Source organism: Homo sapiens, chromosome 4, assembly GCF_000001405.40.
Source record: "Homo sapiens chromosome 4, GRCh38.p14 Primary Assembly".
Taxonomy (NCBI): Eukaryota; Metazoa; Chordata; class Mammalia; order Primates; family Hominidae; genus Homo; species Homo sapiens.
The window spans coordinates 7522773-7545795 of NC_000004.12; the positions used below are offsets into that span (position 1 = coordinate 7522773).

The 23023-nt window shown below is 56.2% G+C and overlaps 1 protein-coding gene across 8 annotated transcripts in view, besides 2 other annotated features; it reads left to right on the forward strand.

Annotated features, from left to right (window-relative positions):
• SORCS2 (sortilin related VPS10 domain containing receptor 2) overlaps positions 1-23023 on the forward strand; it is a 550290-nt gene that overhangs the window by 330235 nt on the left and 197032 nt on the right. For all 8 annotated transcript variants that reach the window (XM_005247987.5, XM_011513515.3, XM_011513516.3 and 5 more), the window contains exon 3: positions 8758-8857. In XM_005247987.5, coding sequence (XP_005248044.2) covers positions 8758-8857 — 100 coding nt within the window. The remainder of the gene's footprint in view (positions 1-8757; positions 8858-23023) is intronic.
• Positions 16970-17264: an enhancer, noted in NCBI's record as "tiled region #5388; HepG2 Activating DNase unmatched - State 9:DNaseU, and K562 Activating DNase matched - State 10:DNaseD". NCBI's record gives its function as "activates a minimal TATA promoter and a strong SV40 promoter by Sharpr-MPRA in HepG2 and K562 cells {active_cell/tissue: HepG2 | K562}" and the evidence as "EXISTENCE:reporter gene assay evidence [ECO:0000049][PMID:27701403]".
• Positions 17281-17787: an enhancer, noted in NCBI's record as "H3K4me1 hESC enhancer chr4:7541780-7542286 (GRCh37/hg19 assembly coordinates)". NCBI's record gives its function as "activates a minimal SCP1, AML or CMV promoter by ChIP-STARR-seq in primed H9 embryonic stem cells {active_cell/tissue: H9 hESC(primed)}" and the evidence as "EXISTENCE:reporter gene assay evidence [ECO:0000049][PMID:30033119]".

Consider the following 23023-nt stretch of genomic DNA (forward strand, 5'->3'; position numbering starts at 1 on the left):
CCTCCTTTATCCTCCCTCCCTTCCTCCTCCCTTTTCTCTCCCTGTCTCCCTTCTCCCTCCCTCCTCCCCCCACTTCTTCCTCCCTTTTCCCTCCCTTTCTCCCCTCTTCCCTCCTCCCTCTTCTCTCCTCCCTCCTCCCTCTTCTCTCCTCCCTGTTCCCCCTCCCTCTTCCCCCATCCTTCCCCTTCTCCCTTTTTCCCTCCTTCCTTCCTTTCTTCTCCTTCCTCCCACTCTTCCCTCTTTGTCACTCCCTCCCTCTTCCCTCCCTCCTCCCTCCTTCCTCCCCTTCTCTCCCCTTTCCTTCCTCTTCCCATTTCCCTCCTCCCTCTGCCTCCTCCCTCTGCCTCCTCCCTTTCTTCCTTCCAGACAGGCTGAGTTCTCCCAGGGATTTTGACACCATCCACAGATTCTAGGGAGAATTCCTCCCCAGAAGGGCAGGCTCAGGAGCCACTAGGACCGCTAAGGAAGATGTACAGGAATTCGATCCACGAGTGTCAGTGCTAGTGCTTAGACTCAAATACTCAAATCCAGTTCCCACATGTTCAGCGGGAAACTGTGGCCCAGGGAGGGAAACCTGTTCACCTGAGGTCACAGAGCCTTCAGGTCTGGCACCCAGAGCACCTCCAAAGGAATCCAACAAGCATTTATTGAGTGCCAGCTGTGTGCCTGGCCAGTAGAGGCTTGCGTCCCCACTCTGGCCGGGAGATCTGTGTGGGCTTCAGGAGGGGGTAGTACTGGGTTTGGAGTTGATCTGAGGGTCCTGTGCTCTGGTGAACTGCTAAGAGACAGGCCCAGCTGTCTGATATGGGGTGGTGGCAGCACCCCTTCCCTCCCTCTGCTCAGTCCACCATGAGCCGGGGCAGCAACTGAATGGGCCACAGCATCCATCACACTGACCCTGCTGACCGGCCCTCAGTGTCCCTGCCCACAGGCCGCTGTTATGTGATTGGACTATCGACCCCTAGCTGCGTCCAACACCCAGCACTGAGCCCGGCGCCCCGCAGACACTCAGCCCGTCACTGGGGGTCACACAGGCCCCTCACTGCTCCACCGTGTTCCTCGAAGCCGTACACTTAACTCCTACCATGCCCTCCAGTGGTCCCAGCAAGAGGCCCCCTCCCTCCTTGGGCCCCTGGGGCTTCCCACTGGCCTCAAACTCTTCCTGGGGATGACGCACTGGAAGCTGCCTGTCTCCATTTCTTCACTGAAAACCAGGAGCTCCCCAGGGGATTCAGGGAGATTTAATGAAGTAGGCAGGTGAGGTGCTAATTCAGAGTCTTCCTCATGTAGAATAGAAGCTCAGTCAGTGCAACTGCCTATAGAGAGGTGAATAGAGTCGCCCCCAAAATCTCTGTCCACCAGGAACCTCAGGGGTGACGCTATTGGGTCCAGGGCCTTTGCAGATGTCATTAGCTAAGGATAGAGGTGAAATCAGCCTGGCTTTAGGGTGGGCACTATATCCAATGTGAAATCGAGGCAGAGAGTGGCGCAATGCAGCCTCAATCTCAGGGACGCCTGGAGCCCTCAGCAGCTGGAAGAGGCAGGAGGATCCTCCCCTGGAGCCTCCAGAGGGAGCTCAGGGCCCTGCTAGCACCTTGACTTTGGACTTCTGACCTCCAGAACTGTGAGGGGACAAGCCACGCGGGTTGTGGTATTTGCACAGCAGCCTGGGACCCTAACCCATCACCTCAACTCACGCCCTGGCCCTGCCCTCCCCAGCGCCCCTCTAGAATTGCCTTGTCTGGTTGAGTCTTGTTGCTTGCACAACATTGAAAACACACAGGAAGAGGTCAACAGGCTGCTGTGGGTTTTGTTTTTTTTTTTTCATGTTCTTTGAAGGAGTGATGTTTAGAGTTTAGAATAATGGCCAGATAAGCAGCGCCGCCGCCCTTGTTCTTTCCCCAGGAAAGGAAGTGGGGTGCGGCAGTGCCTCCTTAACCGCATCTCTCTTCCCACCGGCCTGGCCTCCGCAGCACCCTGAGCTGTCTGCTGGAGTCGGGTGGTCCCCCTCCCCACCCCGCCGCCACTGCTTGCCAGCCAGTTTCAGGTTTTCTAACCACGATCCAAGAGTCTGAACTCTTCCAAGAGTCCAAGCTTGGCGAGTGCACCGCAGAGAGAAACATGCTCCCCATAGAAAGACGAGGGCATCCATCATTGAGGATCCTGTCCCCCGAGCACCCCTGGTCTGCAACAGAAACCTGGCAGGTTCCAGAGAGCGGGAGCTTAACTCGGGTCCTCCTTTTCTCGGACACAGCGCGGGGAGAGGCAAAGGCCGGGCACGCCCACTGGGCGTTCTCCAGCTTTGTTCCTTGCAATAAATCTTCATCATTAGATATCATCATGGCTGCACTTACTTATCTGAGAAGCAGATGCTCAGAGGAAATAATGCAGTGAGAGAGAGACTCTTGAGTTGCCCACCAGGAAAACACAGTCCGGGCAAGAGGCTTCTGGGAAGAACGGATCCCTTTCAGGTCTCTTGAAAGGGGTTCTGGGAGGCTAGACAACAGGGACACTTGCGGGGTGCCTGCAGGTTAAGGATGTGTGGTCACAGCCTTTTTTGTTGATAAGGACCCTGAAGATGCCTGATTCCAATCCTCTGATGCCTCAAAGAAGAAAACTAATGTTAAAATCCACAGTGGGCTGCCCAGGGAGCAGCAGTGGGCGGACATGAGCCCAGACCCCCCAACCGTGCTTCACCCGGGGGCAGTCCTGACTCCCAGCCCAGCCCTCCACCTTCCCCCAAGCAGCATGGCACCTGAGCAGTGTCACTCCATCTTCCATGTCACCTGGTGTCCCCTCCTTCAGCCTGACACCTCGGGCAGCCCCAAGTCATGCCAACTCCACTTCCTGGGCCTACATCCTATTCTTCCTCTCACTCCTCCACCTCCTCAGTCACCTGTCCCCAACTCAGTCACCTGTCCCCACCTCAGTCACTTGTCCCTTCTTGCAGTCACCTGTCCCCTCCTGCAGTCACCTGTGCCCTCCTGCAATCACCTGTCCCCTCCTGCAGTCACCTGTCCCCTCCTCATACCTGTTCCCTGCAGTCACCTGTCCCCTCAGTCACCTGGGCCCTCCTGCAGTCACCTGTCCCCTCCTCAGTCACCTGTCCCCTCCTCAGTCACCTGTCTCCTCCTGCAGTCACCTGTCCCCTCCTCACACCTGTCCCCTCCTCAGTCACCTGTCCCCTTCTCAGTCACCTGTCCCCTCCTCACACCTGTCCCCTGCAGTCACCTGTCCCCTCCTCAGTCACCTGTCCCCTCCTCACACCTGTCTCCTCCTCAGTCACCTGTCCCCACCTGCAACTGCAGCACTCTTCCCAAACAGCAGTAATGATGAGCCCTGCTATGCAGGTGCCACGACCCAGGCGCCATTCAGGCAGATTCCACATGGTCACTTGCTCATCTGCTGGGACCGCATTTTCCAGGGGTCACGTGCCCATCCACTGCAGAGCCCCACACCTTCAGAAGACGCCCATCGCCTTGGCACGTTGTCCAGACCGGCGTGTCCCTTAGGAATAGAATCGGAGCCATTGGGGTCTTTCTAAATGTTCTAGTGGCCACATTAAAAAGTGAAGAGAAACAGGTGGCATGGAAAAGCGTGGAAGGACCTTAATGCTATCACTAAGCGAACGGAACCAAATGAAAAGGCTGTGAACTCTAGGATTCCTGGTAGATCACCTTGTGGAAAAGGCGTAACTATGACGATGATAAAAGGATCGGTGGTTGCCAGGAGGCGGGCGGGGTGAGGGGGATGAATCGGCGGAGAACAGGGGATTCTTGGGGCAGTGACGCTGCTCCGTATGATACCACAGTTGGGGGGGCCCTGTCATTCTACAGGTGCCCAGACCCATAGAGTTCAGGAGCCCCCCAGCTGGCCCTGACCTGAACTCTGCACTCTGGTGGTAATGTCGCGTCAGGGCGGCCTCCCTCACTGATTGTAAGAGCGAGTCTCTCAGCTGGGGGCGCTGACGGTGGGGGCCGAAGGTGTATGGGGATGCTCTCATTTCTACTCCATTTGCTGTGAACCTAAAACTGCTGTAAGAAATAAAGCCTATGGGTTTAAAATAAAGAACAGGTGAAATTAATTTTAATCACAGCTTTTAATTAACTCAATATATCCAAAAGATGATGTCAACATGTAATCAATATAAACATTATAATGAAATATTTTACATTCTTTTTAATGCTAAGTCTTTGAAATCAGTGTATATTTCATAGTCCCAGGGCATCTCCATTCGAATGAATTCACCCTATTTCTAGTGCTAGGCGGCCCTGCGGGTCAGTGGTGCTGCCCGACAATGCGGGTCCAGCCCTCTCTGTGGCCCTGGGGACCGCCCGCCCCACCCACCTCCGGCCGCCCTGTTGTCTCTCACAGCTCACGTGGGGACACTGCTCCCGAACCAGCTCCTACACATACCTCGGACCCGGCTCAAATGCCCACTTGTGGTCGGCAGAGCAATGCCTCCCACAGACGTCCACGTCCTAATCCCCGGAAACTGTGACTATGCTACCTTACATGGCAAAGGGGACTTTGCAGATGGATTAAATGAAGGATCTTGGGATTATCCTGGATTGTCCTCGTGGGGCCTTTGTAATCACAAGGAGGGAGCCAGAGGGACGTGAGACTGTGGTAGTCGGCGCTGTGACGGGAGGCTGTGACGGGAAGCAGAGTGGAGCGATAGACTCTGCAGTGGGCCTCGGGGCCTCGGGGCGAGGACTGCAGGAGGTCGCTAGCAGGTGGGAGAGACAGGGCATGGGTTCTCCTCTGGAGCTTCCAGGAGGTGCCTACACCTTGATTAGCCCTGTAAGACCCCCTGCAGACTCCTGCCCTCCAGAACTGTAGATAATGAATGTGGCTGGTTTTAAGCTGCTGAGTCTGTGGGCCTTTGTTACAGCAGCCATGGGAATCTCACAGGCCCCCCCACCAGGTGAAGTCAGCCTGCCAGTGTTTGTGCCCCCTCCGCTGAGCCTGGGGCCCTCATGCCAGGTGCTCCTTATGCACAGATGAGAGAGGAAGGGTACCCAGACTAAGGTGAGCAGGGAGATGTAGGGGTGGAATTTAAAAGCTTTAGGAGGAAATGTCAGCTGGTCAGTGCTGGATTAGACCTGGCAGTGGGGGCAGCCTGGGGGGCTGAGGATGGCACCTGGACCCCCTCAGTTTGATGTTCCCCTTAGCGTCTCCCAGGACTCTCTGGACGTGCCTGTTGGCATCGCTGCTCCCGGCTGCAGTGTCTGTCTCCTTGTGCTCTCTCTGTCTCTGTCTCTCTCTCTGTCTCTCTCTGTCTCTCTCTCCCCCCAACACCAGCCAGCCTGTCACCCCCATGATAGCAGGGCACAGTGTCCACGCTGCCCATGGATTCCAGCCTCAGTGTAGTGATGGGACACACAGCAGGTACTCAGTATGCACACATCATGTGAAAGAATTTGAATGAGGGGGTGAATTTGAATTCCTAGGCCCGTAGTATGGGCCTTAAAGCATAAAAATTTAAACAAATGGAATGAATGGGTGAGTGGGTGAATCAATGTTCCTAGTGTCTGCAGGAGTTGGACTTGGGAGTCGTGGATATCTGAGGAATTGGGTTTGCATTGTCTGCAGGGTGAGGGGCTTCCTAGGCACTGGCAGCTGCTACGTTTTTTTTTTTGTTGTTGTTTTTTGTTTGTTTGTTTGTTTTTAGACGGAGTCTTGCTCTGTCACCTAGGCTGTAGTGCAGTGGTGCGATCTCAGCTCACTGCAACCTCCACCTCCTGGGTTCAAGAGATTCTCGTGCCTCAGCCTCCTGAGTACCTGGGATTACAGGCGCCTGCCACCTCGCCCGGCCAATTTTTGTATTTTTAGTAGAGACGAGGTTTCACCATGTTGGCCAGTCTGGTCTGAAACTCCTGACCTCAGGCCTCAGCCTCCTGAAGTGCTGGGATTACAGGCATGAGGCGCCGTGCCTGGCCTGGACTGTGTTTTAAATGGACCTGACTTCCTTGTCCTCAGGGCCCTTGTACCTGGAACGCAGCTGCCATCATAAAGTACCACTGTGGCGAACTCTCTCTCGGGGTCCTGGAGGTCAGAAATCTGAGAGTGTTTTTTTCAGAGGCTCTGAGGGAGCCTCTGCCCCCTGCCTCTCTCCCAGCATCCGGTGGCTGCCCAGGTCCTTGGTACCCTTGGCCTGCGGCCACATCACCTCACTTTGCCTCTGTCTGTGCGCGGCCTTCTCTGTGTCTGTGTCCCAATTTCCAAATTCTTATAACACCAGCCATACAGGACTCAGGGCCCACCCTCACCCAGCATGACCTCATCTTAACTAATTGCATCTGCAGAGACCCTGTTTCCAAATAAATCCACACTCATGGGTTCTGGGTGCACAGGAATTTGGGGAACACTACTCAAGCCCGTCCAAATGCCTTTCCCCAGCCAGGCACAACCTCTCTCCTTCCTTCCAGACTCTGTGCAAACATCACCTTGTCTAAGGGGACTTTCTACCACTCTGTCTGCAACCCAGCGGCCCCACCACCCCTCCCTCACCCTCCACCCGCACCCCTACACCGTTGATTCTTCTTCCCACCCTCATCACATTTGATGCTGTTGTATTTTTGCTTCTTTCCTTATCGTCCATCTGCCTCCTTCCATCTCCCCTCCTAGAACAGACGTTCCTAGAGAGCAGGGGCTTTGCTCATGGGCTCCTAGCTGCAGGCCACTCCTGGCAGGAGCTCTGGAGTTTGCAGGTATGAGCAGGCTCCTCTGGCCCAGGGCGGGGAGCAGGACTGAGGCCAGGCTGGATGCTGGGCTAAGGCGAGCAGAGCTGGGAGTGAAGGGAAGAGAGGATTGAGAGGTATTTGGGAGGCGGGATCGATAGGCAGGTCTTGGAGATGGCTCAGCAGGGTGGGGAAGGAAGGGGAGGCTTCCCCTGTGTCAGGCTCGTAAACACAACCATTTGTTTCTGCAAGGGCCTTGGAATTTTCTGGGTCTCTGGATCAGATCGATCCTCTGCTAATGGGCCTCTCTCTGCGTCCTTCCCAAAGAAAATCAATTCTCTGAGATTTGAGAGTAAGTGCGTCCTAATTATACCTCCACTGGGCTTCTTTGTTCACTCCAGCCTGGTCCTCCCTGGGGAGACCAGGGGCAGACAGAGGCCAGACAGGTCCTGAGGCCCCCCGCCATCCTGGGGAGGGGCTGGCCCCTGGGAGTTAGAGGGCTGGGGGTTGGGGGTCTGCTCTTTGTCCTGGCCTAGGAGAAACCTTGTGACCCTGAGGACTGTGAGGGACACACATTCTGGGGACCTGTGGCCACGTGGCCAGCATGCCCAGAGATGATAAACAGTCCATTTTTCTGGAGCCTCAGGTTCACTTGAAGATGTAGGGAGGAAACGTCTCCAAGTAGAAACCACCAAAGATGTGTTCTAGAAGGGCGTGAAATAGCTCCCAGTGGGGTGGGGCCTTTATGCTAAAGCAGCTCCAGGCCTGTCCCCTCGGCCCCCAGAGGACAAACTAGGTGAGTCTGAGAAGCACTGGCCCCACAGTCAGGCCACACACGTCAGTGCAGGCCGGGCTCAGAGCCAGGTGCTGGGGTCTGAGGCAGGAGCACTGAAGCCTGGCTCCAGCCCAAGGCCCCCTTGCCCAAGCTGGAGAGTTGCCCCCAGTCCCCTGAGCTCAGCATAGCTCAGCAGTGATCAGACATGGGGAAGCCCCACAAGGCATGCTGCCCACGACAGGAGCCCCACGGCCGTGTGTTCCACCCCTGTGCCTCTCCCCACCTTGGGTCTGTGTCTGGATTCTGCATCGATAGAGCAGGGGTGAGATGTGAAATGCTTCCCCGAGCACCTCTGATCCTCTCCAGTACAGTCGGGGCATATCCTGCAATCCCAGTATATTTTAATGGCTGATGATAAGAGGTGTTGGTTTCAGGATCTCTGGGACTTAATCTTCAATGGAGAATTAATTCCATATCCTGATGGATGGATGGCTTCCAAACAACAGATATGAAGTTGCCTTTGTGGCTTATCTCCCTCTTCTTGCTGGGCAGCCAAGGCGCTTTAAAGCTCAGTGTACTCTCAGATTCTCACTTGGCCAGGAGGGCCTTGCCCAAGGAGGTACCGAGTGGACAGCCCTGTCTCCCAGCACGAGTCCAGCAGATGCCACTCCAGGGCGGGCATAGTGCTTGGGGTCTGATTTCCAGCAGCTGCCCGAACTCTGGTACCTGCCTGCGGTCTCCTACCATCCTGTGCTGCAGGTGGTGGCCAGGGTGGAGGATGGGGCTCCCTGGAGGAGCTCAGAGTCCAGAGAGGGAAAGAGGCAAGCAGATAGGCCACAGGAATGCCTCGGCACAGCCACCAGCCTGAAATCAGACGGGCCAGTCAAATCCTGAGTCAGCCACTTATTAACTAAGTGATTTCAGGCAGTGAACTATCCCTTTGGAGGCTTCTCTGGTCACCTGTGAGATGCATGTGGTAACCTAGAGCTGCCCGGCTCATAGGAGGCATGGGGGAGGAATGACTGGCTGGGATTTGGAGTCAGAAGGACCTGACTTTGGATCCTAGCTCTGGACCTAAGCTCCACACCTGTGTGAGTCCTCAGTGTTCCTGAGAGAGCCCAGTCTCCTCTCCTGCCTTGTCGGCATACACTGCCCCCAGGCAGAGTGCCCAGGACTGTACTCAGGGTGTCTGGGGCACTCGGCCCGCACGGGCACAGGGCAGGGGCTGGACACCGTGTGGGCTGACGAAGGCCACACTTGGAGGGTACATGGCTGACGGCTGTCCCCCTTTTCCCCCAGGTCATCAGATTTCGGGACGTCCTACACCAAGCTCACCCTCCAGCCTGGTGTCACCACCGTCATCGACAATTTCTACATCTGCCCGACCAACAAGAGGAAGGTAGGTGCTGGCTGGGGGTGGCCGCCACTCTGGCTCTCGCCTTGTGCCGCTCACTCTGCAGAGCAAGGAAGCTGCTGCCCTGCCCTGCTGTCTCCTACTTTGGCCCAGGCCGGAGTGTGAGATGTTTCCCTCCCAGCTCTCACTGCCACCCTTCCCGGTGCTACCTGACACCATTCTGTGCTTTAAACCAGAGGCCAGGCTTTGGAGGAAGGCACCGCCTGCATACCTAGGGCACATTTGTCTTCCCGCTGGTTGGGGTGGGGGCATGCATCCATCAGAGCACAGCAGGGAGGAGCTGTGGGCCTGGAAGCAGAGACAGCAGCAGCTCTCTTGGGCTGGGAGCCCTCGGAAGGCAGTGCTGAGCAGGCCCGTTCTTCGGAAGTTAGTTGTTGATCCGGTTTTGATTATGCTATGATTTCCATCTGAGCTCTCCTTGCTGTTTCCTGGGTCTGGGGGAACTTCCTGACTTTGCTCTCTGGCTGGCTGTACAATAGGAGAGAGGGGTCTTTCCGAGGCTACCCACCGTGGGTTCCGTGAGAAGAGCCCTCCTGCAAACGTGTGTTTGTGTCCTGGCCCACCCCCTGAGCCCAGATCAAGGTCGGCAGAGGCACCAGGGCAAAGCTGTCCTGTGAACCTGACTCCATTCAGCAAAGCAGTTCACGGTCACAGAAAGGGACTCAGACCAGTGTTTGCATCCCAGCTCCCCTCTCTGTGCCCCAGTTTCCTCAAATGGGATGTCACCCACACCTCGCACAGGGAATTGTGAGCTCTAGGATCAGGCACCCAGAGCCCCTGCATGATGCTCGGCATGAGGTGGGCACACAGGCCCCTGTGCTCAGCTCTAATGGTGACTTTGAAGGAGAAATCTGAGCAGCTTGGAGTCTGTGAGAATGTCCATGAATCAACAGAACATCCAGAAAGGGAGTTGTGCGGGATGGTGATGATTCCAAGGGTGCTGGAGTGTTTCGATGGTTGCGCTGGTGGCAGGTTCACAGGGGCTCAGAGGAGCTGGGCGCACTGGAGCTTGGCAGCTTCTGCTGAGACCACAGGCCTGGCAGCAGCAGTCTATGGAACGAGGGGGCTGAGATGCGTGCAGCCTTGATTGGGCCGTCTCGGTGGTCTCAGCCACGTTTGTTCATGGGATGTCCTCTCTCTTCCTAAAGCAGGTTGCTTTGCTGTTTTTGTTTTGTTTTGTTTCGTTTTTTTCTCTTCTTGATTTCTGCTGTAGGAGCTTCCAGCTGGACAGACTTGGAATGCAGAGGTGGGGAGGGCTACAGAGGGGAGGTGAGGGAGACCTGGCCCTGGGGACACGAGAGGCGCCTGCTGGAAGGCCATGTCTCGGCGTGTAGGGAAGAGAGGTGGGTTGACCTGAGCCAGCCCCTGCTTCTTCCCAGCCCCAGCCCTGGGGATTCACACACCCGATCTCTTTCCATCCCACAGCAGCCCAAAGAGGGAGGCATCATTATCCCCCTTTCCAGGGCAGGACATTGGACGAGAGAGGTGAGATTTGCTCAGTCTCACACCTGGTGGTGCAGGGGGCCTGGATTTGAACCCAGCTTCACCGAGCCCAAAGCTGAGGGTGGAGGGTGTTGTCCAGGCTTGGCAGCAGTGAGGCCTGTACCTGCTGGAAAACCCAAACCCTATGGAAGCAGGGGCAGACACTCTGCCTTCCAGCCCGACCATCACCCCTTCTTCCTGGGGTTGCTGTGATTCAAATTTGAGACAAAGATGAGTGGCTGGGGGCTGGCGCTGACCCAGATGAGGGCCCACACTGACCCCAGATTCCAGCTGGCAATAGAGGAGGCCACGCCCCCCACCTCCTGGCCCAGCTTCGAGTTCCTGTCCATCCAGCCGATCTGGTCCTGGTGGCCTTCCAGCGGCTGCCCTTCTCCACTCCATGCAGGGGACACTCCGCTCCTGTCTTTCTGGTCACCAGCTGGGAGGGTCCACAGGCACCTGGGATGTGATGGTACCTCCAGGGTCAGCCCTGCAGGCCACGTCTGTGTTTGGAAATGTGAAGGGCAAGGCAACAGGGGCAGTAACGGAACCAAGAGAGACTCTGAGGCCCTGAGGTCAGGCAAGGTGTCACATGGAGACTGGGTCAGACAGTGTGAGGTCAGACAGAGCTGCTTCTGCATGCAGCAACCTGGGGACATGGCCGTGACCTCCGCTGAGCCTCAGTTTCCTGGCCTGTAAAGCGGGCAGGTGGAAGGGCCCATGAGATGATACATAGAATGCACAGGGGATCAGCAGAGGGGTTCCTAGGCAGCACTGGGCCTTCTGTGCGGGCCAAAGGCTGGGGCTGCGATGTGGGGTGCTCAATAGAACTTCCTCTACAGGCAGCACCGGGGAGGTATCTGCAGTCTTGAAAGCAGACAAGCCCTGAGACAGGTTATTTGAATCCCTGGGCACAGGCTGGATTTCAGAGCCAGGAGTTTGGACATTTAGCCTAGAAATATCACTGCGGGTACAGGATTGGGTCTGATGGTGGCCTGGCACCCAGCACAGAGGCTCAGCTGACTTTAAAGGAATGGGATGAATGAATGAGTGAATGAATGAGTGTCACAAACAGTGTGTGCTGCCGAGTGGACACTGTAGCCGCATCAGGTTTGCCTGGGTGCAGACACTGGATTTGCAGGGTGGTGTAGAGGACAGTGCCTGTGCTGGGGAGTCCCTATCCTCAGTCCAGCTCTGCCAGGTCCCCCCCCATCAGGGAGCCACAGGTGTCTCACCTGTAAAGGGGACAGTGATCAAGGGTGGGCTTGACAGGTGAGTGCCTGGCAGAGCCTCACTCAAAATTACCATTTACTGTCAGCTGAAGAGAAGCCCCCAAAGATGTCCCAGTCCCGACCCCTGGAACGTGTGAATGTCACCTCTATGGCAAAAGGGACTTTGCAAATGGGATTAAGTGGAGGATGTTGTGATGGGAAGGTTCTCCTGGGTTGTCTGAGTGGGATCAGCTCAGTGTCATCACAGGGTCCTTGTGGAGGGCAGCAGGAGGGCCAGGCCTGCAGGGGGAGCTGGGAGATGGAGCAGAGGCTGGGGCAGGGCCTGGTTGGGGCCACAAGCCAAGGAAAGCAGGCGCCTCCGGAAAGAAGTTGGAAAAGCCAAGGAAATGGACTTGCCACTGGAGCCTCCAGAGGAACCAGCCCTGCCAACACCTTGCCTTCAGCTTTGTGCCCTCCATGGCCAGAGGAAAATGAATTTCTATTGCTTCAAGCCACGGAGTGCATGGTGATTTGTTGCAGCAGCCACAGGAGGCTGACACAGCTGCTGTTTTGAGGAGGGGCTGCAGGGGTTGGGGCTGGGAGTAGGGAGGCCGAGGCTCCTGCTCTCCCCTCACCCACATTGTTCTGCCCACCCCACAGCCACCCAGATGGAACTGGCCTCCCGTGGGCCCTCCTCCTCCTGCTGACACACCGATCCTGATTCCTGTTGGACCCCAGGTGGCAGGAGCAAAGTCACAGGTGCAGACAGGGCTGGGCTTCTGGGTGCCCCGGTTTGGGCCTGTTCTCACCTCTCCCTGCCCACCTCCTCACCACAGGACAAAACTGATCTCTCTCCGGAAGGCCATGATCCCCTAGGTTGGAGGCACCAGGAGGCCCACCAAGGGCCTTGCTGAATCTGAACTTGTTGCTTCCAAAGCCCCTGATGCTGCAGGAACTGCTGTCTCGGAGGCAGGCAGGGCAGTTACGGTGCGGGGCCAGGAGTGCAGCGGATGTGGGGCACCGGGGAGCGGCAGGGGAATGGGATGAGAGGCTGACCCCCTGGCTTCTCTGGCTGGGGCATAGGGGCCTGTTCCTGGGTCTGAGTCTGGCCCTGTAGCCTACCCGCTCTGAGACCTTGAGCAAGTGTGAACCGCCCTTGTTCTGGGCTTCCTCATTGGTGAAATGGGGGTAGTAGCAGCATCTATACTGTAAGGCTGATGGAATTAATGAGGTGCTCCTTGTCAAGTGCTCAGATCCGGGCCTGGCCCGAGGGAAGACCCCATGAGTTACTCGTGTGACCCACCGTTATCCTTAGAGGGAAACACTGACGCCCTCCTGGCCAGCCATCTGAGACTTTAGGTTAGGAACTGGCTGCAGGGTGACAAAGCCTCACACGTGTGGCCCCAGTGGGCTGTGTCTGTTGGAGGGACCACACATGGCCATGGAACAGAGGCCTCACCTGGTGGCTGTGCCAGGCATGGGGGGCATTGCCCTGGCCCTGCTGATCTGCACCCACCTGGTTCCCTCAGGCCCGGGTCAGGCTGCTTGCTCGTGGCATGTCCCGCCCACACCTCTGTGTTTAGAGAACAAATTAATTATCAGTGATGGGAACCGGGGCAGCGATTTGTTATCTAACTAACAGGGCGGCATATGTTTCCCTGTGATGCTGCTGGCAGTGCGCTTCTGCCTCAGGAGAATGAAACATTGGCTCCTGTCTGCAGAGGTGTGGACGGGCCACGTGCTGAGTGGGGCTAGGGACGCAGGTCAGGGAGGGCCAGAGAGCACGTGGACTCAGAGGCCGAGGGCATCAGAGGGCCCAAGCTCTAGGCAGCAGGCTCCACTGTTCCTTCTCTAGTGGTACAAACTGTAGGCAAGTTCCTAATCTGCCTGCACCTCAGTTCCTTGTCTGTAGAGTGGGGTTGCGGTGGTGAATAAGGATTACCTGGGTTAATGCATATACGGTACCTAGAATCAAGCCCGGCACACAGTTTGATAGTGGTCTTTGCAACAAGTGGGAACTCGGGCTGATTTGGTTTTAAATGCATTTAGATGCTGAAAAGCCATAGTTACGATTCCACATAAAACAAATTTGACTTTACATGTCAAGTAAGGAGTGGGGCAAGCCAGAGAAGCTGGTTAAGGCAGAAGAAGAGACTCAGGAGGTACAGGGCTGGTCTTCAGACACCTGCATGGTGGTCCTAGGGAACAAGAGCAGCCCATGACTGTGGGGCAGAGGTCAGGCGTGATTCCTCCCTACTCCTCAGCCGTGCACGGCCCCTGGCACTCAAACAGAACTCACGAGAGAAGGATGTGATGGGCTGGGCTGGGACACTTCTGGGAAAGATATTTCAATGTAATATGAAGCAAAAATGGCCTTTATCATTGCATGAAACTTATCTACTTGGAGTTTCTTGATCCCTTCTGCTACCCCCTCGGTGATCATTTTTGGTGTATCACACTTTCGGCCAGAAGCGGATGTCCCCATACTCAGATGTGGGGGGGGGGGGCGGGCAGGGCCCACCTCGAGGTCACCATTTGTTCACTTCCATTAGCCAGAGCAGAAAATGGAGGCTCAGGGAAGCTCGGAGAGTCTTCCAAGGTCACCCAGCCGGTAGAGAGAACAGAAGCAATCACTGACACATGGTGCTTGAACCCAGGCCTGCCAGCCCCTAGAGTACCCCTTGTCATGCTCCGGGCTCCTGAGGCACCCTTGCAGCTAAGTTCTAGCAAGCTGATGGGGCTCCCTGTGTCTGCGCAAGCACAGCCCGGCCCGCTTGGCTGGGGGCTAGAAATCAGCAGCTCCTTACTGCACACCGGGCGCAGTCTGGGGGCTGCTGAGCTGTGTAACTCTGGGCAGATCCCATTTCCTCTCTGGGCCTCAGTTTCCCCATCCCTTAGATGAAGCAGCTGAATTGAAGGCTCTCCAAACCCCCTTCAAGCTCCACTATCCTAGCTTCTCCTGGTCTCCCAGGGCGATCCTCTGGGAAGAGTAGCAGCCATGAAAGAGGATGCCTGTGGGCAGATCCTGACTTGGCTCCATCTACCCTGTGCCCAGGCCATCTTCGTGGTGAGAGGGCAGCTTGAACGGGGTCTCTAAGCCCCTCCCAACACCCACACCCACCCATTCAGCAGAAATGGGGGTGAGACCCTACTAGGTGCTGGGCTGTGTGCTTGGTGCTAGAGAGAGAGAGCCCTTTGCTTTGTCCAGTCTTATAGAGAGCAGATACAGATTATGTACCTACTATGCACTGGGTCCCTTGCTGGGCACTGGGGAGCAAAGGTGAACTGGACAAACAGCTCTAACCTTCTAGAGCCTCTGAGGGTCTGGTGGGGCCCTGAGAAACTGAATCTCTCTGCTGCAAGTTTATAGAAAGAATGAGAAAAGGGCGGCCGGATGCAGTGTCTCACACCTGTGATCCCAGCACTTTGGGAGCAGAGGCTGGAGCATCGCTTGAGCCCAGGAGTTTGAGACCAGCCTGGCCAACATAAAAACATAAAAATAAAAAATAGCCAGGCCTGGCACGTATGGTCCCAGCTACTCAGGAGGCTGAGGTGGGAAGATGGATTGAGCCCAAGAGGTTGAGCCTGCCGTGATCTATGATCCCACCACTACACTCCAGGTTGGGCGACACAGTGAGACACTGTCTCAAAAGAAAGAAAAGGGGGCAAAGTCAGCCTTTAGCCAATAGAGGATTGACCCGGGTGACTCTGATTGGGAAAAGATCACTTTGTTTACAGGGGCAGTTGCATGAGTGTGTGCCTTGCCAGGTCTGCCTCTCTGTTATTGGATAATGGATAGGTTTTGCAGGAAGACGTGAATACTATTAGGACTCCATTTAGCAACAATTACAGGCCGAGCAGCACTTTATAGCTTCTTGGAGACCACTTTGCAACCTGTCTTAGGGAATGAATTCCCTTTTATTTTTGTCTCGCCTGCAGCAGAATCAGCAGTCCCTGGCCTTGCTGCTCCTGGCCAGGCAGCCTACTATTGTCATGGCTGGACCCAAGGCCCTGGGGGCCCTGACGACCCCCACACATCCCCTGCAATGCTCAGATCAGCTTCGGGCCGACAGCAGGTTTCCTTCCCACTTGGCCCCAGGAGCCCTGTGGCATGGGGAAGTGTGAAGGCACGGCCCAGAGGAGCTGGCCCAGGCATGGAATTTCTTCCAAGCATTGTGTTTTATATGAAAAATTTATGTGAATGGGCATCTTACTCCATTATATATCAGTGTTGGCTTGAATATTAAAATCACACACACACACACACACACACATTTTCACCAAAAAATCTTTATGTCAAGCTGGTGATCTGGGAGAAGGCCAAGTCCTGGGACACCCTGGCCCACCCACCATATCACCCGGGCCCTTGACCCCAGATATGAGAAGCACAGGGTTAGGACAAAATCTCCCTGAGTTCACCTCTTCCCTCATTCCGCTCACTCGCCCGTGTCTTCGTAGGGGAACTGCCACGTGTTAGTAAGCACTCAGGACTGAGCAATGAATCAAGTGAAAATTTTGTTTTTAAGAAGCTCAAAGTATTGCGGAAAGTGAAAACCTCCACTTGGCAGAGGCGGTGTGGTCATGATAAAGCATGGCCCTGTGTCCTGAAGGCCTTTTATGAAAGTTCAGCCCTGTTCTCTAATCTCTACAGCAGCCCTGCAGGGTAAGGATGCTCATGGGCCATTGCACAGGTGAAAGAAATTGAGGCCCAGAGAGGCCAAGTTGTTTCCCCCAGGCCCCATAGCCGGTGGGCTGCTGAACCAGGACGCGCCCCAGGTCTAAGGGCCCCATCAGTGCTGCCCTGTCACCACCCCCCAAAGCCTTCCAGCAGCTCTGTACAGACACCAAAAGCCTGTGCTTTGGGCACAGGGCCCTGCCCCCCAGGAGGAAACCTGAGGGATGGGGCACAGATCCTGGAGCTGTGGACCCACTAAGACAGGTTCCCAAGTTCTCTGGACCTCATAGTCCTCACCAGGAACACGGGGTGGTGGTACCACCTGCTCTCCAGGCCCCAGCTTCACAGGACTGTGCCATTCAGGCCGAGCCAAGTCCCAGGCTCCTCTTGAGGCTGTGCCCATGTCCGCTTCCTGTGGACTCTGTGTGCTTGCCAGAACACAGAAGTCCAGTACTTTGTTCTGCTCTTTGTCTGTGGGTCTCTCTCCCACCCATGTGTAGGGTAGCTGGCTGGCTTCCCCACCACACTGGGCTCTAATGGCTCCCTCTCCCTCCCTCCTTGTTTTCTTCCTTCTCTTTGTCTCTCACTCTCTCTGTCTCACTCTCTTCCCTCCACTCTGAACCCCTGCCTTCAGCCCTACAAACTCCTTCCCAGCTGCAAGGCCCCGACCCCCGTTATGGAGGCCCCGCCCCTTCCTGCTGTGGAGGCCCCGCCCCTTCCTGCTGTGGCGGCCCCACCCCATCCCTGCTGTGAGGGCCCCACCCCTTCCTGTTGTGGATGCTCTGCCTCCTTCCTGCTGTGGAGGCCCCACCCCTTCCTGTTGTGGCTGCTCCGCCCCATTCCTGCTGTGGAAGCCCCATCCCCTCCCTGCTGTGGGGGCCACGCCCACTCCCTGTTGTGGAGGCCCCACCCCCTTCCTGCTGTGAAGGTCTCACCCCCTCCCTGCTGTGATGGCACCGCCCCTTCCTGTTGCAAAGGCCCCACTCCCTCCCTGTTATGGAGGCCCCGCCCCCTTTCTGCTGTGGAGGCCCCACCCCCTGCCTGTCGTGGAGGCCCCGCCCCTCCTGTTATGGAGGCCCCGCCCCCTTTGTGCTGTGGGGCCCCACTCCCTCCCTGCTATGAGGGCCCTGCCCCTCCCCGCCCCTGCCTCTCCCTGCCCCTCCCTGCCCCTCCCTGCCCCTCCCTGCCCCTCCCTGCCCCTGCCTCTGCCTCTCCCTGCCCCTGCCTCTCCTTCCTGCCAACTGCTGACCTCTTGGCCCGCCTAGGGTTTTCCTTCCTCTCCTTCTGGACCTGAGCTGTGCATGATGGTGCTCAGAGGCAGCTGAGATTAGCCCGGGTCCCGTGGACATAGGACCCCAGCCTTCTTCTGTGGCTAGGAAACCCTGTGAGTCATGTACTATGTCCAGCGGGGGATGGCAGCACCCTGTGGCTGCTTTGCCACCGCCTGTGCTTTGTGGGACCCACACTCTGTGTGCAGTAGCTTGGGAAGTCCCAGAATCTGCCCTTGCGCTTCACGGCTTTGCCCTTAAGGCGTTCTGAGCAGCGAGAGCCAGGCTGCATGGTCCCATGGTGCCGAGATGCTTTGGCGCTGCGCTGCATCCTGCTGCGCAGTTCTTCCTCCCGAGGGTCTGGCCAGCATCACCCGCTCCCCGGCCCACACATCTGATGAAGAGAGTCATGAGGGAGGGCGGGGGAGACAGAGTGGGGAGAACAGGCTTTACGGAGACTCAACCCCAGGTTCCCTATTTCCTGGCTTTCCGACCCCCCTGCCCCCCGCACCCCGGGTGTGAAGTGGGGATGAACATTACCCACCTCATCTGGTCATGTGGACTGTTAAATGGGAGGATGCCTGACTCAGCAGCTCAGGCCTGGCCCTGGCAATCAGTGTCGTAAAGTGGCCAAGGGAACCGGCCAGCGCCCCACCCACGAGGCTGCCCTCAGGTCAGAGCCAGTGCGTGAGGCATGGGGGTACAATGCCAGGCACACAGCTGGGGCTCAGACAGGACCAAACTATCCCTTCTGTCTCTTACCCTGGACCTGCCATCTGTCATGACCATGGACTGACACTCCTGAAAGCCAACCCATCCTTTCTGTCTCCCTGTGATGGGAAGTGAGGGTGAGACTGGCATTACACTTCGGGAGGGGAGCCAAAGGGTGCCATGTCTGGGCCTGGGCTGCTGCAGGGCTGCCATGCGTGCACCTGTGGCCTCCGGTGGTGTAGGGGTGTGGGCGCCATTGTGGCACCCTTGCACACAGTCTCATCCATGGTGCTCAAGCTCAGGGTGCCTCGTGGGACCCCAGGACCTGGGCACATGCTGGGGCTGCCACCATCATGGGAAGCCTTGCTAACTTTCCATTCTGCTGGTAATTTGGGCTGCCAGGGAGGATTCCCAGTGCTCTGTATGGACATGCATTTGCAAATTGAGATCATTCTCTGATGATGGTCTCTGGGCAAGACTGGCCATCAGAGGAGGGGTATCCCTAGCCTCCTCAGGAGGGGCGATCACTCAGGAGCCCTGAGCCAGGCTTGCTTATGGGCAGTGGCTCACAGCTGTGGCCAGGGCCTTGCTCGGGGGCGCCCAGGCAGCCAGGCCTCTCCCTCAAGTGGTCTGCCCTTTTTCTTGAAGAGTGGACATCAGAACCATCTGCGGACATGGCTGAAAGACCACCTTTTAAGCATCATGTTGCAGACCAGAGGCACAGCCAGGCTGAGAGGTGGGGAGAGTGTGCAGGGTCAGCGCCTCCACACGGAGCCCTAGTTTCAGCCTTAAACATGCAGCACACGGGGCGTGTGGACATGATGGTGCAGCTACACCAAAGAAAAACGCAGATAGAAACCAACAGGAAAGCCGGAGTCAACTGTTTTGATTCCAGGACTCCAGCTTGAAGGTCTAAGCGTGGCCAGCAGCAAGGCAGCTCACCAATGAGCATACTTTGGGTGCTTCTGGCCCCCCAGCCATGTGCAGGACCCCCTGCCAGCTCCCCACTTTTTGGCCCCATTCCCCTTTTGTAACAGGGGTGAGGGCAAGGCAATTGCCCAGCAGAGCTCCAAGACCAGGAGAGCTCCAGAGAGAAGGAGCTTTGCCTGCTTCAGCCAAACCAAAGGGGCCCATTGGCAGCCCCTCCTCCTCACCCCTCATGGGCGGAGGGTTGGGGGGTGTTCCTGCCCCGCCTGCCCTATCTTAAACAATCAGTGATTATCAATTATTAAGACAGCCCTGCTCCTGGGGCTGCATGCAGTGCTTTGGGCTGAATTGTGCCCCCCAAAAAAATATGTCCGTGTCATAACTCCTCATCCCTGCCAATGTGTCCTTCTTTGGGAATAGGGTCTTTGCAGCTGTAATCGAGGTAAAATGAGGTCATTTCCAACATGACTGGTATTTTTATAAGAAAACGAGAAGAGACTCAGAGACAGACAAGACAGAGGGCAGGTGACACGAAGACATATGGGGAAGAGGAGAGGGCCAGGATGACAGAGGCTGAGGGGAGTGAGGCAGCTGCAGGAAGGGGAGGCCTTGGAGCCCACGACACCAAAAACTAAAAGGAAAGCTTGGAATGGATTCTCTCCCAGAGCCTTCGGGAAGCATTGTTGACACCTTCATTTTGAACTCACAGTCTCCCGAATTGTGAGAGGACACATTTCCACTGTTTGAAGGCACCAGTGTGTGACACTTTGTCTCGGAAGCCCCAGACGCTGATGAGAATGGAGTCGCTCACGTGATCCTCAGAGCAATGATCAGCGATGTGGTTGCCCAGTTTTGCAGATGGGGAGGCCAAGGCTCACAGGGGCTGAGTAATTTGCTCAGGGTGGGTGGCTGGGGATCCAGGTTCCCACCTGTGAGCACAGCACTGCCTCTTACGCTCCACCCACGCTTCCTCTTCCCTCTTAGGAGGGATGAAAGCAGGAGATGCCAGCCCCCTTCAGACACTCACCGGCCCAGTGACCCACAGGGCCAGGCCATTTGCAGGAGGGAGAAGATGGTCCTCTTGATGGAGGAGTGGCCTACATGGACAAGGAGGGCTGGGCTGGCCAGCACGTGTCAGTGGCCAGCACATGGCAGTGGACAGCCCAGGTTTTGGGGGGCCTTGGAAACCAGGCTGAAGGACACAGGATGGCACAGAGCCCTGGAGGCTTCCACATGGTGGGTGATGAGATCACATGTGCTGGTTGGTTGGTTTGCCTTTTAAGAAAGTCCACTTGCTGCAGTTGGGAGACAAACGGGGTGACAGAGAGTGAGAGGCAGGGAGGGTCACCCATCCATGCATCCCTCCGTTCATCTGTTGACTCATTCATTCATCAGTCCACTAATTCATTCATTCATCTATCCACTTATCCATCCTCCCACCCACCTATCCGTTGATTCATACATCCACCCACCCATCCATCCATCCACCCATCCATCTATCCATCCATCCGTCCATCCATCCACTCATCCATCCATCCATCCATCCACCCACCCATCCATTCACCCACTCATCCATCCATCCATCCATCCATCCATCCATCCGTCCATCCATCCACTTATCCATCCGTCCATCCATGCACCCACCCATCCATTCACCCACTCATCCATCCATCCATTCCATCCATCCATCCGTCCATCCACCCATCCATCCACCCATCCGTCCATCCGTCCATCCATCCACCCACCCATCCATCCATCCACCCATCCACCCATCCACCCATCCATCCATCCACCCATCCACCCATCCACCCATCCACCCATCCACCCATCCACCCATCCACCCACCCATCCGTCCATCCATCCACTCATCCATCCATCCATCCATCCATCCATCCATCCATCTACCCATCTGTCCATCCATCCACTCATCCGTCCATCCATCCACCCATCCATCCAGCCACCCACCCACCCACCCATCCATCCATCCACCCATCCACCCATCCACCCATCCACCCATCCACCCATCCATCCATCCATCCATCCATCCATCCATCCACCCATCCGTCCATCCATCCACTCATCCATCCATCCATCCACCCATCCATCCATCCAGCCACCCACCCATCCATCCAGCCACCCACCCATCCATCCACCCATCCATCCATCCATCCACCCATGCATGCATCCACCCATCCATCCACCCATCCACTCATGCATCTACCCATCTGCCCATCCATCCACTCATCCATCCACTCACCCATCCTCCATCCCTTCATCCATCCACTCGTGCATTCATCATGCATCAACTTATTTATTCATTCAACTAATATCTATCCCATGGCCATCTATGCTGCTGCTGACACCTGTGAGGTGACATCAAGGTGAGAGATGATGAATTGGTGAGCAGGGACAGGGTTAGGATATTCCTTGTTGATTAGGTGATGTGTTAGCTGTGGGTGAAGGGGATGCTGTTCCCTGAGATGGAGAGCCCTGGAGAGATGGCAGACCTTAGTGGGAGCATATGGAGGCTCTAGGATGGGACAGGCAGAGTTCACCAGCCTGAGCATCCAAGGCAACATCCAACAGGCTCAGGGCGGCCAGCAGGAAGAAGAGCTATATGTGCCCCCTGCCATTGCAGATTCCAGGGGTGAGCTCTCAGGGGATGCTTCCTCCAGCCTGGGACAGGCTCCCTGGTCTCTTTCCTGGCTCCACCCTGAATTCTCTGTTCAGCTCAGCACAAAACAAGAGACAGAGGGAGCTGGGGTATTGACCCCCTAGCTATGGGTGAGCTAGTTCAGGGCCCTTGCAGGCTCTGAGCACCCACAGCTCCCTGAGAACGAAGCCAGGCTCCTGGAAGTCACCTGCCATCCCCAGTCTCCCCCATGGCTGAACACTCAGGGTGTGGCTGGTTCCTCTGAGGGCTGTTCCTGTGAGGGGTGGGAGCCCCTGCCTGGTGGGAACAGAAGCCTGAGTGTGGAGCCCTGAGGAGGGCTGGGAAACAGAGCTGGGGCTAAATGGGCCATCCCTTCCAATCAGCGATGTTCTCCATTTCCCTTGATAGCCAGGCAGCCTCCCCTGTGCAGGAGAAAAATGGCTCAATTGGGCTTGTTGGTATACAGAGCTTTTGTCTCAGAAATAGAGTGAACCCTGGAAACTTCAGCCCTAATACATGGAAAATTATTCCCTCTTAAAGTCAATAGGTTATTGTAGGAGAGGAGGGAAAAGAAAAAAAAAAAAAAACTCGAGCTTTTCAGAAAACAAGTCTCCTGAATCTCCTGCCCCTGGAACTAATAAAACAGAGAGGAAGGGACTCTGGAGTTCCTCCCTCTTCTGAAGAGCATGCAGAACTGAACCAAAACACCAGAGCCAAAAAATAAAATAGAAAGTGCAAAGGCCCCCAGGCTCAGGGGCACACATACAGAGGTCGGGGAGCTCCAGGCCTCTTCCTCAAGTGCTCTGGGGACCCACCTGATGGAGACTTACCATGTGCTGGGTGCTGAGCTCAATGGCTCTTCACCTGTGTCATCCATCAGGGCTGGAGGGAGTGGCAGGGGGACCTAAGAGAGACAGGGACCTGCCCATGGGCGTAAGCAGCATCCCCCAGGACAGTGACTGTGGCCACCATGTTAGAGACAAGAACACAGGCTCACCAAGGCTCAGGGACCCATTCAGGATCCCAAGTCAGCAAGGGACTGGGTGGTGAGTGAGATTTGGACCCACGACTCTCTGAGACCCAAACCCAGACCCACCCCGCTGCATCAGCAGACTCCAATCTCACCCCACAGGCCCTGGAGAGCCTGGTGTTTGTGGGCACCTGCCTGCCTTTCTGTGATTTATAAAGTAAACCTTCTGCTGCCTCTGTCTTCAGGGAAAACCA